The sequence below is a fragment of the Homo sapiens genome, chromosome 17, assembly GCF_000001405.40.
Source record: "Homo sapiens chromosome 17, GRCh38.p14 Primary Assembly".
Classification (NCBI taxonomy): Eukaryota; Metazoa; Chordata; class Mammalia; order Primates; family Hominidae; genus Homo; species Homo sapiens.
Window position 1 is genome coordinate 12,042,257 of NC_000017.11, and position 16,114 is coordinate 12,058,370.

Here is a 16,114-nt window from a genome sequence, read left to right on the forward strand (position 1 = left end):
AATTATGTATATGACTTAATTATTCTTTTGCCTTTCCGGATTCTTAAGGACAGATCATGGTGAAAAACAGTTATTACAGGTAAAGTGGTGTGAATTGTTTGCTTTGAGGGTAAAGTAATTGGTCAGTTGGACAAGGTAGTCAGGTGTGCCCTGGAGGGTGGAGAGAAGTCAGCTTGGAATAAAAAATTAACTGAACCTGGGCAACATGGTGAAACCCCTTCTCTACAAAAAAATACAAAAATTAGCTAGGCGTGGTGGCCTGTAATCCCAGCTACCCAGGAGGCTGAGGTGGGAGTATCGCCTAAGCTCGGGAGGTGAAAGCCGCAGTGAGATGTGATCATGCCACTGCACTCCAGCCTGGGCAGCAGAGTGAGACCTTCTGTCAGAAAACAAACAAACAAAAAACTGTGATTCACTATGGAGTCGAAAAGAAGGAAGGTAGACTCTCTGACTTTCCTGAGTTAGGATGATGTGGACGTACACACTCTTTGCTTTAAGAAGATGTTCTTGGCCAGGCGCAGTGGCTCACGCCTGTAATCCCAGCACTTTGGGAGGCCGAGGTGGGCGGATCATGAGGTCAGGAGATCGAGACCATCCTGGCTAACACAGTGAAACCCCGCCTCTACTAAAAATACAAAAAATTAGCCGGGCGTAGTGGCGGGGGCCTGTAGTCCCAGCTACTCGGGAGGCTGAGGCAGGAGAATGGCGTGAACCCAGGAAGTGGAGCTTGCAGTGAGCCGAGATTGTGCCACTGCACCCCAGCCTGGGCGACAGAGTGAGACTCCGTCTCAAAAAAAAAAAAAGATGTTCTTGAAGTCAGGAGTCTGCTAGGTATTTGAAGGACATCTGGCTTGATAATCCTTGATAATATTTTCATACCTGTTTGTAAATCAACTATTGATATATGATGGAGAAAAATATATTCATAAACCATATCTTCCTACTTTATCTCTAATTCACTTGGAATTTGTTTTACTTGTTTTTAGGCTTGTTTATGTATTTGGATAGTTATAAAAACCAATTACAAATATTAATGGAAATAAGGAAATTTTTATTTCATATTTCCAATATTGACACCTTGAGGTGTTTTCTGACACCAAGCAATTCTCTGACAGCAACCGTGTATCCAACAATTGAATTCATTTCTGACACTATTTACCTGGAGTTAGCATCAGATCTCACAAGTTGAAGGGCTCAGTGCTTCAAGATTCTCCTCACTTAGGATGCTAGTCACAAATGGGGTGTTTAGGATACTCATACTCCTGCTTGGATGACTTCAAATTTGGGGGTTCCCATTATCAAACTTGACCACAACCCCCATCAAGTTTGATAATTTGCTAGCATGTCTTATGGAACTCAGGAAATAACTTTATTTACTGTTATTGGCTTTATTATAAAGGTTACAGCTCATGAACAGCCAAATGGAAGAGATAGGACCCTGTATAGGGCAAGGTATTGGGAGTAAGGGGACAGGGGAATAGCGCAGAGGTTCTGTGACCTTTCCGTGCACACTATCCTTGATTCATTTACCAATCTGGAAGCTCCCCGAACCCTATTGTTAGGGGTTTTTATGGAGGTTTTATTAGGTAGGCATGATTGATTGTATCATTGGCCATTGGACTCCGTCTCTAGTCCTTTTCACCTTCCTGGAGGTGTGTGTATGGGGGCGTGGCAGCTGAAAGTTTTAACAGTCTACTCACTTGGTTGTTTTTTTCTGGTGGCCAGCCCCTATCCTGAAGTTATATAGGGGCCCTCTGAGAGTTACCAGACTCTTGCACAAAGTCAGGTATGGTTGAAAGGGCCACATTATCGGTAACAAAAGACACTCCTGTCACTCAGGAGATTCTAAGGGTTTTCAGAGCTCTGTGCCCCAAACCTGGGACAAAGGCAAAATACAGTTATATTTTTCATTGTACTACAGGTACTTCTGTAGCAAAATTACCTTGCACACAATTGGCCCACAGCTTTGAATCTATCTGGGAAAAAGAGTGGTAATCCCATAATGGGTTGTCTACTGGATTGGTGATTTTTCTGTCGTGAAAAGGATGAACATGGTTTGTTTCCTTGGAGCAAATGGGTACTTAGGCTAGGAAGTTCTCTGCATCTTATAGCTTTCTTTATTCTAATCTACTTGCTAATGAAGTTCATATAGAATTGAAGTGCAGAAGAGTTAATTACTTATGACTTATGACCAGTCTGGCTTTCTTGTATAGTTAATAACATTATTACTTATAACATTATAAACTTGCCAAGAAGGAGAAGTCAGATCTGATTGTTTTGATGTAAGGAAAAACTCAAACTTTTTTCCTCTGCTTTCACACCATACAACAATCAACATAGAAGACTTTGTGACCAAATATGGGGGATTTCTCCCCACTAGCAAACAAATAATCACTTCTGCAGCACATACCAGCTGGGTGTCCTCCAGTTCAATTATCACACAGCTTACCTGGAGATAGTGTCAGATCCCACCGGTTGAGGGCTCAGTCCCACAAGGCTGCCCCTGCTTCAGATACCAGTTGTTAAGTCTGGGCCTTCAGAACTTCTGACTGTCCGGCTCCCAGTTGGGTTTCCCACAACCCTCCTTTGGGGTTAATTAATTTGCTGGTCTTTCTGGTCACCAGCCCTCATCCTGAAGCTAGGTGCTGCCAGTCATCAGTCAACTCATTAGCATCCAAAAAATACATCACCTTGGAAATTCCAAGAATTTAAGGAGTTGTGTGCCAGGAAATGGGGACAAAACCAAAAATATATATTTCTCAATACCATATTTGGTAGCTCCTCAATTTGTGTGCTGTTGTGAGTACTTACGTGTCAGCTGAAATATGGATCCCCTTAGCCCTGTGGCCTGGGGCCACTCACTAGAGCTCTGTGTCATTGTCCTTGAGTCAAGAACAGACTTATATTTCTTTCATTGTGTTGTACACATTTTTTTTTTCATATGCACATATAAAAAAGGTTTGGAAGCACTGATTGAAAAAATATTGATGTTATAGTTATAAAATATGGTTAATGTTTTTATTTCACTTATAGGTGGTGAACAGTTGTTAAAATAGGGTGGTGATAGGATGTCATGGCATTTACCAAGCAGGAAAAATAAATGTGATGTAAGACCTGTGTGCACGTGGTTCCTTGCTAGGGTTCAAGCAAGCTGTTCTTCAGAGAGTATCTGATATGTGCTTCTGTCTGTACAGTGAGGTCAGACTAGAAGCCACTCCGTGGGCTCTGGGATATAGATGGAAATCAGAACAAGCCTTATGACTTTTCTTGACATAGCTTTCATAAGTTTGCATATTCTATTCCTTATTCCATTAGTAAGATTGCTACTAAAAAAATAAGCATCAGTTATGTGGATGGTTTTCCAGAAATCTGAGTATCTTGTTCTTGTTACATTGTGAGACAGTAACTTAAAACTTTGGGGTGCTCATGAGGAGCTTAATTAGAATATTGAGTTGGATTAGGAGGCAGAGGTTATCAAAGTGGCCTGTGTATTGCAAAGTAAGAGACCACTGTTGACTGTTGTACATAGAAAATTTTGTTGGGGTTGATCAATTTGGGTTTGTGTCTCACTTGTCTTCATGGGATTTCTGTTGATATACTCACAAGTTCGAGGCTTAAAAACACAAATGCCCTTTGGATTTGCCAGAGATTTAGGCATCACATGGATTTAAAAATGGTCTGAGCACCTGGATAAAATGCTGAGTACCTTTACTGACTCTTGCTATGCTGCAAATGTTTCCTCTTCCTGGCTAGAACTCTCAGCACATGTATAGCAATAGTGTTTCTGTGTGAATGGAATCAGTGCAGGTATGTAGCAGATTAGGCCGTTCTTATTAAGGACTGTGAAAGATGATGGTATGAGTGAACTCTTTAAATGAGCTAGGGACAAATTAAGGATTCAGAGAACTATTAACACATTCTCTTCTCCCCTGAACCAAAGGTGGAGATAACTGGCTGCCTCCTTTTGGGTATCCATTTGGAACCTTCTCAGAGTGGTTGTGTAATTGTGAAATTCCAACTCTTAGGTTCCCATGAAGTCTACTTGCAAAATCATTGGAACATGGAATTGGGGTTCGGGGGGTTATTTCGGATAAGCTTTTTATATTTTGTTGGTGATTAAAATGTTGTTAAATTTAGCAACATTTTAAACTACAGTAGGGCCTTCTTTGATTAGCTGGCTCCCTGGGTAATTTTTATGGGGTTGGACTAATCATGACTTGGCCAGAGAGATTTTCAATTTAGCCTGTGGAATTATATATTTGCTTGTTGGTAGTAGACATCTGGCTCAGAGTCTGATAGAAAGTGTTGCTGTTATTGGCTTTAAGTGATAGCTCAAAGGTGTGGCTGGCTGTGGAATCCCATAATGATGGCACTGTGCTTAATTGATGTGAAATAACTGGAGATCAGAGAGGGGCTATTATAATCAATGGCATTGGTGGTTAGCTGAATCAGAGAATGGATGAATCAGTTATGAGTTTCTGTTAATAGGTTTAAAAGGAATTTAGGGTGTTTTGGGAGCTGCATTCCATGAAGCTTCATAAACCCCTTATTTTATTATAACTGAAATGAGTTAAATTTTTTTTTTCCTTGTTAGATGAGCAGCTTGGAAGCGAGTTTTGGGCTTTTAAGCCTTCCAACTCTCCCTGAAGGCTTTTGTTAACCAAAGAAGGACTCCATACATAGTAAGAGGTAGTCTACAAGTAGAATGCTGCTTTTGCCTTTGTCTGGTGTTCTAAGAATCTGATAGGAGCTGTTAAGCCTTTTGTTGTCAAAGCAGTACCCTTTCAGGAACTGATAGAGGAGTGACACAATCCTTGGTATTCTGGGTTAAATTTTTTTTTTCTACCCAAGAAAAGGACTATGAATCTTTTGCCAGAGGTCGGAAATGCTGAGGGTGAATTATTTTGTTTTTTTTTTCCTTGACAGTAGAGCCTCTGAGGCCCGATCCTGTCAGATGAGGAAAATGTTTAATATTTAGGAATCATGGCTGTTAGTAATCTACTTTTACCCTGGTTTAGGACTTGGCCATCATAAATGTAGACAGTTATCATAATTGATAATAAAGCTGGAATGAGTGACTATCTAGCTGACTCTGTTATGCATAGTAATGCCTTTACTCCTCACAGTGCCCCTATGGGGAAGGTAATATTAATCCCATTTGGCAGGTATGGCGCTAAGGCAGAGAGGTGAAGTCATTTACCCAAGAGATATTATATAGCTAGTAAGTAGCAGAGTTGAGCTTCAAAACTAGGCCGATTGGCACTGCTAGTCTATATTGATTTCCCTGGTTTCTAGTTTAATAGAATTAGGAAGGATCCTGGATTAGGATAGGAATAAGATTTTTATGGGAAAGTGGTTTTAAACACATTTACAAAGCAAGCTGAATTCTTTGTTGCTAATATATTTTGTTGGTTTAAACGCTATCAAACAAACATTTTCCAGTTTTCTTCTCTAGAGAATTTAATACTTTCTCAATTAGGTTTTAATATGTACTTATAACTAATATCATAGTAGTTACCACTTTTCATGTCTACTGTTTGCCACTATTATAGCATATTTAAGATATATTAATCCTTATCACAACAGTACTGCCAAGTAGCAGACTGTTTTTATCCTGGTTTCACAGATGTGTAGTGTACTAGACCACAGAAATATTCTTGTTTGTATCTTGATTAGTGTTCCAGTGGTATTTATTAGTATTTTCAGTGGTGATCATTTGACATCTTGGAAAAGAATTTTCTTTCCTATTCCTACCCTTTAACCTCCTTGTACTACATTTCTTTTTCTTTTTTTTTGAGACAGGATCTCACTATGTTGCCCAGGCTGCTTTTGAACTCATGGGCGCAAACGATCCTTTTGCTTTGGCCTCCCAAAGTGCTGGGATTACAGGCATGAGTCACCATGTCTGGCCTCACATTTCTTTTTAATTTTTTGGCAGAATGCCCAACGAAACAGTCTTTGTGGAGGGGTCAGCTACCTTATCTATTGTTCATCTCCACTGCCTGGCATATAACTTGTTTGTAATTGTGGTATTTCTGCACTTGTTGTTGTGTAAATTATTATATTGGGCTTTCTAAAAATCCATTTTACACACAAAAGTGTAAAATGTGCTAAAAGTTGCTGTTGGGATATTTACTTGATTTCTTAAACTCAGAACCATCTAGTTTCCAAAATGCTTAGCTGTGTGGATGAACAACAGTGCTTTATTGATGAGAGTTCAAAGTTCTGAGTGAGATTTTATGAACTTTTTAGTAATTGCTCACTCTTATGTATCAAAGATTGCCAGTGGGGGGAGATAGGGGCAATATAATATTAGCTGATAGCAGCTCACTTAATACATGGATATATGGAATACCTGATATTGCGAGTCTAACATCTCTTTTTCTTTATTTATTTTTATTTATTTATTTATTTTTTGAGACGCAGTTTCACTCTTGTCACCCAGGCTGGAGTGCAATGGCGCGATCTCTGCTCACTGAAACCTATACCTCCTGGGTTCAAGCGATTCCATTGCCTCAGCCTCCCGAGTAGCTGGGATTACAGGTGTCTGCCACCACGCCCGGCTAATTTTTGTATTTTTAGTAGAGACGGGGTTTTACCATGTTGGCCTGGCTGGTCTTGAACTCCTGACCTCAGGTGGTCCGTCCGCCTCAGCCTCCCAAAGTGCTAGGATTACAGGCATGAGCCACCGTGCCTGACCTAACATCTCTTTTTCTTTTGAGCTTATGAAATATTAGGTCTCTCATTACCGTAGTAATTTAGGGAGAAAAGAGAATGAAAGTAAGTTCTTTACTACCACTTTATTTCCTCATTTCTGAAATTGTTTGACTGTAAAGTTGCATAGTTGGAATTGTGGGTTACTCATTTCATAACCAGTGATTGCAGATAATTAAAAAATTATTCCAGGTAATCTTTCTGTTTTGAAAATGAGGTAGTAACAATGAGAGCCAAGGAAGAAATGAGAATTTAAATGACAGCTCCCCTCTCTGCGATGTGATGTTCTGAATACTTGTAAGTCAAATACCAATATTCTTGAAGGTATTCTATGAATGACTTGTACACTGCAGTTCCAGGTTTCTCTTTATTGTGTGGTGGTTCTAGGGAATACCCTGTGGTGTCAATGGGTGTTCCCTAAAAGGGATTGATTCAGATTGCTTTTTGATTATTCCTTCCTGGCTCCTTTCGCATGTGAGTAGTTGACTTGAAAGAGCAACTGTTTAATTTTTATGATTCTTTTCATTAGTTGGGTGGTAGTTCTGTCTCACCTGAGCTTGCTTATATGTATTTAGTAGGTCTATTAGGAAGACTGGGACTGCTGGGCCTTTTGTTCCATGTGGTCTTTCATCAAGGAGAATAGACTGAGCTGCTTCACATTCAAACTCAGGGTAGCTTTCCAGGAGGGCAAAAGTGGAAGCTGCAAGGCCTCATAAAGGGCTTAGATTTGGAAGTCATACAGTATTCCTTCTGCTATAGTATTGTGGTTAAATCAAGCCCCAAGGCCAGCCCAGATTCAAAAGGTAGGGAAATAGACCTCACCTATTTATGGAAGGAGCAGCAAGGTCCCTTTGCAGATGGGTATGGACTCAGGGAGCTGTGGTTCCTTGGTGGTTATTTTTGTGACAATCTACCAAATAACCTACAGTGAACTCAGCATTATATCAAAAAGGTTATACTCTAGAGGCAGCTATTGTAGATCCTTCAGTGGTCTTCATTACCATGAACAATGAAGTACTTTGCTGTTACTACAACAGATGTTAAACAAGGGCTATCAAATATGGTGATATCAGTGGAGTTGAAGATATGCAGATTGGCTAAAATGTTGTAGAGACGGTTTCCATTCTTACAGGCTGGGTGGGAGGATTCTAGTGATTGTAGTTCTCTGATTCTGACCATACAGGTAACAGAATCTTGCTTTCCTGTGATATAATGAAACGAAACAAGCCCATTAGATGGCGGCAGGGGGCAGGGGGCAGTGAAATGTTGATAAGAAAAACAATCTACTAATAATTCTAATTTAATAAATATTTGTTGAACTGCTGTTTTGTCTGAGGTACTGTTATAGGTGATTTGCAGAGTTCAAAGATAAATCAAGATAGTTAAAAATTTAAAGCAGAAAATTGTTTACAATTTTTTGATGGAAACAGACTTGAGGATGAGAGGATGGTAAGGTGAGCCCAGTGTAAAGTGTTTCTTCCTGAGGGACATACTGATGTTTTTGGAAACTAAATAATGCTGGCTCTTAATAGAGGAACTGACACCTTTTGCTGTTCTATAAAATGTGAAGGAGAGATGCTTTTGGTAACCTAGATTGCAGAGATTCCATAGATTTTGTATTGAGTAGTGGACTCTCAACTGCCCGTGTTGAGGTTTTTGGCCAAGATCGAAGCAAACTATATGCTCAGCTTAGCTGGTTGTGGAAAGCAATGTTAAAAAGGTTTGTATTGCTTGAGAAGTTAGTGGAGGGAGAATATTCAGGGCTCTTTATCATCTTGTTTTTAAAGCTAAATAAACCTGGAAGGTGTCTTCCCTCCAACTTCAATATTCTGTGAGTCAGTGAGTTGCTCACAACTAGACAAAGGGTATTCCTAGGCCTCAGTGAATGTGGATACACTTGACCAATCCCTTTCTTCAGGATTACAGTTCTTAATATTCTTGATGATTCCATGTTTGGGAGTGCTTTTCTCATGAGAAATTTGAGGAAGACACTGTGTGCCGATGCTGTGAAAAGCTTGTTTGAAAGGTGCTGGCTGTTCTCTTAAGGCAGAGTTTTGAAACCAGAATTTCAAGGATGATTCTGACAGATTGTTGCCCTCAGCCTTGGAGTGGCTGAGTGGGGACAGGACTGCTCAATGCCTAGGCCAGCCTCTGGGCCAGCTGCAATTCTAATTTTCCCAGCATGTTGAACAAATATTCTCATCTTTTAAACAAGCCATTGCATGAAAAAAGTAGGCAGTATTGCTTTGAGGGGTGGAACAGTGCTTTGGAAGTGTGATGAGGACAGGTACTGTTCCTAAGTCAGGGTTCTTGGTTGCAAACAACAAAGATTTACTCCAGCCAATAACCATATAGGCTTAAGTTGTCTGAGGCTGTCCATGTCAACTTTATTCCCAAATCAATAAACATTTGGAAGTGTTTTCTGTATCAGGCACAGAGCTAAGGTTTTAGGTATACAGAGAATCTCTCGCAGGAAACCGCTTCTGTATAAATATTTTAGGATGTTTGATGCCTCGTTTCTCTCCTGCTATAGTTAAAGGGACAATGTTTATCTGTGTTGACTGGTTAGAAATTGATGATATGACAGTCCCACCAAAGGGGTTATTATAATCACAAATTCATAATGTTTTTGATCAGTTATTTTAAACCCTGTTGTACAAATATTTCAATCTTTGTTAGCATCTAAAAATCTTCACAGGTCATTTATAGTATCACGTCCCTCCTTTCTCCCTGTGAAAGTTGTTTCAAGTTTTTGAAAAAAATTCATATTAATGTCCTATTTGCTTGTAATTTTTTGTCATTAAAAATATCTGAATACATGGTGACAGATTGCCTTTCGGTTTTGATTTTTTTGAGGGACCCTTGAAAAAGAAGTAAAGGAGAGAAGGACCCAGCCCCAGTAGAGGCTCTAGTACTTAGAGAAAGTGAATGGGAGAGGAGAAGATGCCTTTTTTTAAAAAAAAAAAAGCTCATGCCTCCAGGTAGCCAGAAACAGCTTCTCCTGAGTATTGTAAAAGCTATTTTTCTACTTTTCTTGAATCTCACCTTCGGTTGACATTTTGGGGCCTTCCTTTTCCTCCTCAAAACTGCCTTTCAAGTTCATCTTAAACTGATCAGCATTTGAAGAGTTGGGGTACACAGATGAGACCCAGCAAGGTAACTTGATCATGTGCTAAGCTCGTTGGCACTTGTTTTAGGCTTTGAGTGATCTTTGCTTGGAAAGGCTTCGAAACCTACAGAATTACTTAGTGTGTTTTGTTAGTAAATGATCAGAATATAAATTTGGACTTTTTCAAGATAATTGCAGATGTCTCTGAAGTGTAGACTGTGTTTAAATCTAATTTATGTAACTTAAATCACATTCTCTTCATCATGGTGTACGTTTATGAAGTTAATGGCCTTTAAAGCTTTCAATTTAGTTTTTATTTAAATGTGAATGCAATGCTGAAAAAAATCTCTCTGTGTATTCAGTATAAATACTTATATTCAAGAAAACAGTTTAAGTTTTAACTGTTGTAATATATTTTATTGTTTATCTGGTAAGGTTAGCTACTATTCCGTCAAATTGGGCTTTCTAAGAAAGGACCAATTTTTGTTTTTCTTTGGATAGTTTTCACAATAGTTCTTTGTTCTGTCCTTGTCTTGCATTTTATCTTAGTCTTATATTAATTTTTCTTCACACGGAGGTAATGGATGATGTGCCAGATGGTTTCAAACACAGACTACATGACATATGCTCAGTTTTTGATTTGAGGAGTTTGTAAAGATTTTCTTCAAATTGTGATAGCAAAGTTCCTTAACTTAATTTTTTCTGTAAACGATTTGCCATATTAAGGTAATTAATAGGTTCAAGTTCCAGAGATTAGGAGCTTAGTATCTTTGGGGACCACCATTCAGCCCATTACAGTCTGTTTTCTGGGCCCCAAATATTCATATCCTTCCCATGTGCAAAATACATTTACCCTACCCCAGCGTCTCCAAAATTTTGACTCATTACAGTATTAACTCAAATGTAAATCTCACCTAAATATTACCAGCTCAAAAATCCCAAATCCCATTATGAAAATCATTTAAATCAGGCATGGGTAAAACTCTGAGTATTATCCAGGGCAAATTCCATTTGGTTTCAAGACCCGGGAGTAATCCTCTATCTTTAAATATTTTCTAAAGAAAAATTCTCAAGAAGTAAAAGAGCATATTTACTAAAAAAACCTTTTTTTTTGTATATTGCTGAACCTCTCACAGAAAGTTTTTCTACCAGCAATATATCTTATTAGTGATTCTTCTACCTAGCCATTCTGATCATCATGTTATCATTATGTATATATAATATAAAACCTTCAAACTTTGCCATTTTCATATGAACAAAAGCTTAAAATGTTTTTGGTGTTAGTGTCTTTTTATATTTTCCCTTGATTTGTCTTTACTGCTCATATTCTTATCACTTTTTTTCTATTTTTCTTGATTTCTATGATGTCTTTATATATTTAGAGCTACTGATTTTTGTATTGCAAGAGTTTTCCCAAGGTTCAATTTTTTTTTAGTTTTGTTTTTTGGTAATATACTGAGGGTTTTTGTTTTTTTTTTAAATACAGTCATATCTGCTATGTTTCCTAGTGTACCCTTTGCACATGTTGTTTGAATGTCCTTCCTCTACATTATGTGGAAAAGTCATACTGTACTAACCTTATTTCTGAAAATGGATGTGTTTGGTCTTCGTGGGAATTCACATGATCTGGTAGAAAGGAGGCTTATCTTTGAAAGCAGATCTAGGGGCCGTGGCAAGGAGCTCTGTGCTCTTGTCTCTTTGCCATCTTCTCCATCCAGTGTGGCTCCGTCAGATTTTCAGATCTCACATTTACAGTTTGAACCCTCTATTAAATCCTCATCCACTGAGGTCAGAAAGTGTTTGGATTGCAGAGATATTTTTTGAGTAGTTAATTGTATAATAAACTCTAGAGAGTGAGTTCAGGAAAAAGTGTCTCTAAGGTGAATGTGAAACCAAGATATGCTGCAAATGCTTAAAAAATTCAGTTCTGTTACAAGGTATCCTTTTAAGTCCTAAAGAAATGATTCTGTAAGACTTATTGATATAGAAAGAAATGTTAGTGAATAAAGCATTTTACAAAGCATTTTCATGGTCTGATTTCAATTGTAGTGAAAAAATACATGTCCCTATCTATGTATAGAAAAAAGTCTGCAGTAGTTAGTAAACTGATTATTTTGAGATACTTGGATTGATAAGTTTATGTAAAATTTTAACCCTATGTATTGTATAGGTGTATATGTAACATTTTTAATATATTTGATCTTTTTTTGCATTTTCTGCCCTTCTACCATGGTGGTTTTACTTGGGTAATAAAAAACATTGGTATCTCTTCCCTTCCTACCCTAAAGAAACAGCTTCATGGAAATAATTATTTAGAATACTTGTATTACTAACTTGAAGTTTACTCTACCGTAATGTTTTTAGCAAATTTTTCAGATTCTTCACTCTGTTGTTTATATTCATTAAAATGAGGGAAAACGATATTTATTAAACTGAGGGCATTAAGTATAACACTGAACAGATGGTAATATTTTTAGAATTTTTCAGTATATCTACTGAGATAATTGATTTTTATAATAGTATTTTCACTTGCAAAAGTATTAACTTCCCTGAATAATGGAAACTTGAAGTGATAGCATTCTATCTATTGTATCATAGCCTAGTGAATGATTTGTAGTTAGTAACAACTTTAGATTATTTTATTTTTTCTTAGTTTAAGAAATTCCTCATTGCCTTTCAAAATATTGTCCTATATTAACTGTTTGTTAAAGCAAGTTCTCTTGCCTTTTGGTGTGACTTTCTTATGCCCTCAGAATAGTACCTGTTTTGTAGTACTTGAAACTTTTACTTTTTATTTGTTATTTCTCAGGTAAACGCAAAGCACTGAAGTTGAATTTTGCAAATCCACCTTTCAAATCTACAGCAAGGTTTACTCTGAATCCCAATCCTACAGGAGTTCAAAACCCACACATGTGAGTATTCTTGGTAATCAAAGGCTCAACTCAAGCAAAGATTTTAAAGTTACTGTATTTTATGAATTTTTCCAATTATGAGATGTCAGTATAATTTCTCTGACTAAACTCTCTGGGAATATTGTTTATTCTTTTCCTTCTGGAGTTCCAGTTAAATTGCAAGTTGCATTTAGGAAATTTGACTGTCTTCTGTCCAACTGTACAAATTTTCACCACTTAGTGACAAAATAGAGTCCCATCTTAATAAGCTAGATTCCTGCAAGATTTCTATGTCATAGTAAATTGAAAGAGTTGTGTACATGTGAGTGTACACATATCAGTGGTTATTTCATTTACTGAATTTTTAAACAATAGAAATGATATTGTAGCATCTTAGTGAAAATATTAGAGCATCTTAGTTAACATAAAGCAATACCTTCAGAACAATATTTTACATTAACCTTCAATTGAATTTAAGTGATGTGAAATATTAAAAAACCTCTTCTTATTTCCCATCCTAACCTATCATGAAAATGAAGGCCAGTGGCTGTACTTTTATAACCATGTCCATAAAAATAATTTTGAGCTAGTTTCGATGTTGAGAACTATAAAGCAAGTGGTGTAAGGTATGATTAAAAAGCTGGCAGATACATTTTTTTTTAAGTAATTTCTCAACAATTTGCATCTAGATCTTATTAGGCTTAAAATACATTTATTCTTCCCAAAGAGGCACTTTTATTGCTATTTTCTCTTCTTTCAGAATTTGGTATGCATTGTATTTACAAACAGTAACAAATTGGTAGAAGGTAGTGTCTTGCAAAAGAGATGCTTAAAATATTTTTAAAACAGCAATGTCTAGAAGGGAGTAGTTTCACTTGTAGCCTTAGAGGGAATGAAAGATATTTTAAATAAAAAGTGTAGTAACAATTTATTTTTCTCAATTGTCTATTAATTTTATTAGACTGGTGTTCATAATCACACTTCTTGTCAGAGCTCAGCCTAGAGTCCCACTCTTTTTACCTTCTCTGAAACATCAAGTAGGGGCTATCTTGAGGAAGGAAACTTAGTACTTATTAATTAGTCAGAATTTCAGCAGCAAGGAAACAATTCTTAAAAGAACCTCCTTCCTTATTTCTTAGAATTTGTAGTGAAAGCTAGTGCAAAACTAATTCTTTAACATAGCCCCCTTCTGTTACCTTAGTTACTAGCTGAACCATATGTTGGAAGTCTAAGAAGGAAAGGATATAGCAGTAATCACCAAACTTATCAGATCTTTCTTTTTTAAAAGCCTTTTTGGACAAGGAGAAAGACAACCTGACTTAAATTAAAACTGGAAAAACATTCATCTATTTGTACTGTCTTCCCTCTGGAGTTTCTTTATGTATGTGGAATTCATGGAGCAAAATTTTTTAAAAAATAGTAAACACAGGGTGGAAAAAAACTTTCTTCCAAAGTTGAGTTCAGGTTTTATTTTTTGTTTTGTTCTTAACTAATGTTTTATAATAAACCTATAGCCAGCTAGATTTCTCATCCTTTGTTTCTTCCCAGCAAGTATTTAAAATTTGAAAGGACATGGTAATAGGTAGTTTTACCTTATGATAGAATCTTTAGAGCTTGATTCTGGTATGTAAAAATTTTAGACCCAGACTTTGTTGTAAGTTTTTTATTGTACAGGTCAATTGTTCTGGGTTAGGAATAGGTAACTACTAGCATTGTTACTGGTCAGAGATAACTGTTTTATTACTTAGAACAACATTATCTCCTCTACCTTCCCAGCCCCTTCCAAAAGGTATCCTTTTGTACTCTTCCTCTGAGTTGTTTGCCATCAAGCACTAAAAACAGTTGTTAGTTTCTGTTTAGGATGAGTACTTGCAATTAGAAAAACATAACTTGTAGTTTGTGGGAGTTTTGAAATAAGATATCTCTTAACATTTATATGTTTTTTCTCCTAAAATTTCCTTGAACTTTAATAATTACAGATGTGAATATAAAACTTGTTCATGAATTTAGGAAAAGATAAGATGAAATAAGCAAGCTAATGAAGTTAAGATATGTCACAGGATCTGGTTTCAGATCTCCTTGGCATTTGATGTCTCCTGGATGCAGGATCCTTTGCAAGATTAAAAAAAAAATTGTAAGACAGTGTTCTTTTTTTCTGAGAACCAACAGTTTAAATAAAATTCCAAGAAATGACAATTGGCTGTCGTAATTTTAGTAAGGCATAAGGTAATATGGATTGAATGTCAAATTAAAGGTGTACAAGGGGTAAATCATTTTAGAAAACCTACTTGATTAAATGCTTCCCAGAAGAACAAGATTTTACTGGATTTTGAAAGACAGGCAGGGAAGGTTGAGTGAAGAAGACAAGGGACAGTGGCATTCTGGTGAGCGTATGCACAAGAGAAGTTTTGGGAACCATGTGTAGATCTGTTTAATTGTAGCAGGGATGTTATTTATAGATTACCTATTTCTCTCTCTCACTGGAATCTTTTAGCCTGTTTTCTTTATTCTTGATATTCTGTAATTATATGAGGATAAGCCTCAAATTGCATCATCTTCCCATGTATCAGATTAACCCTTTTAGTTTCAAGATTCATGTATCTCTTTTTCTGGGAAAATTGCTGCTGCTTTCCTTTTGATACATTTCCTTCATGTTTTTCCTATCATCTTCTCCTGAAACTTGTGTTACTAGGATGTTGGACTGCCTATATCCCCTGTATCCTAGACTCTAAAAAAAAATGTGTTCCGTCTCATTGTTTTCTTACTCTGTATCCTGGGAGATTTTCTTTATTTTCCATCCCCTAAATGGAATCTTGGCAATCAGTTTTAATTTCCAAGAGTTGATTGTGGCATTTTCTTAGGATTCTATTCTTAATTTTGGATACAAAATAGGGAATTTAAAAATTCTTTTCTGTTGTTTGAATTATTGATTTCCTCAAGGATCAGTTTTTCTTTTACCTCTTTCTCAGTTTTTTTTTACATCTTATAATTTTTTTTTCATGTCTTGTTCTTGATTGTTTCTTGAATGGAAGCTTTGGTTATAGATCATCACCTGGTGGGCTTGGCTTTACTTTTCTGTGAGTATTTTGAGAGCTAGCTCTTAGGCCAGGAATATTACCAATGCTAGAATTAGTAGAGCCAAAATTCACCTTAGGAAGCCTGGTTCTCTCCAGATGTGTTTGTTCTCTTTGAAGACATGCCCCCTTTTTATTTTAGGGGAAGAATAAAGAGGAAAAGTGGAATTAACTAGACCTTTCTTTTTTTTTTTTTTTTTTTAAGTGGCAGGGTCTCACTATATTGCCCAGGCTGGTCTTGAACTCCTGGATTCCAGGGATCCTCCCGCCTCAGCCTCCCAGAGTGCTGGGATTACAGGCATGAGGTACTGCGCCTGGCCTAGAAC

At 37.0% G+C, this 16,114-nt stretch overlaps 1 protein-coding gene across 5 annotated transcripts in view, besides 1 other annotated feature; it reads left to right on the plus strand.

The window, feature by feature from the left end:
* The window catches only part of MAP2K4 (mitogen-activated protein kinase kinase 4), a 122,952-nt gene that overhangs the window by 21,380 nt on the left and 85,458 nt on the right, over window positions 1-16,114 (plus strand). For all 5 annotated transcript variants that reach the window (XR_007065381.1, XR_007065382.1, NM_001281435.2 and 2 more), the window contains one exon: window positions 12,633-12,735. Coding sequence is in view for 3 of the 5 variants with exons in the window: in NM_001281435.2 (NP_001268364.1) it covers window positions 12,633-12,735 (103 nt within the window). In the remaining 2 variants the exon portion in view is untranslated. The remainder of the gene's footprint in view (window positions 1-12,632; window positions 12,736-16,114) is intronic.
* Window positions 4,242-5,125: an enhancer, noted in NCBI's record as "OCT4-NANOG hESC enhancer chr17:11949815-11950698 (GRCh37/hg19 assembly coordinates)". NCBI's record gives its function as "activates a minimal SCP1, AML or CMV promoter by ChIP-STARR-seq in naive H9 embryonic stem cells {active_cell/tissue: H9 hESC(naive)}" and the evidence as "EXISTENCE:reporter gene assay evidence [ECO:0000049][PMID:30033119]".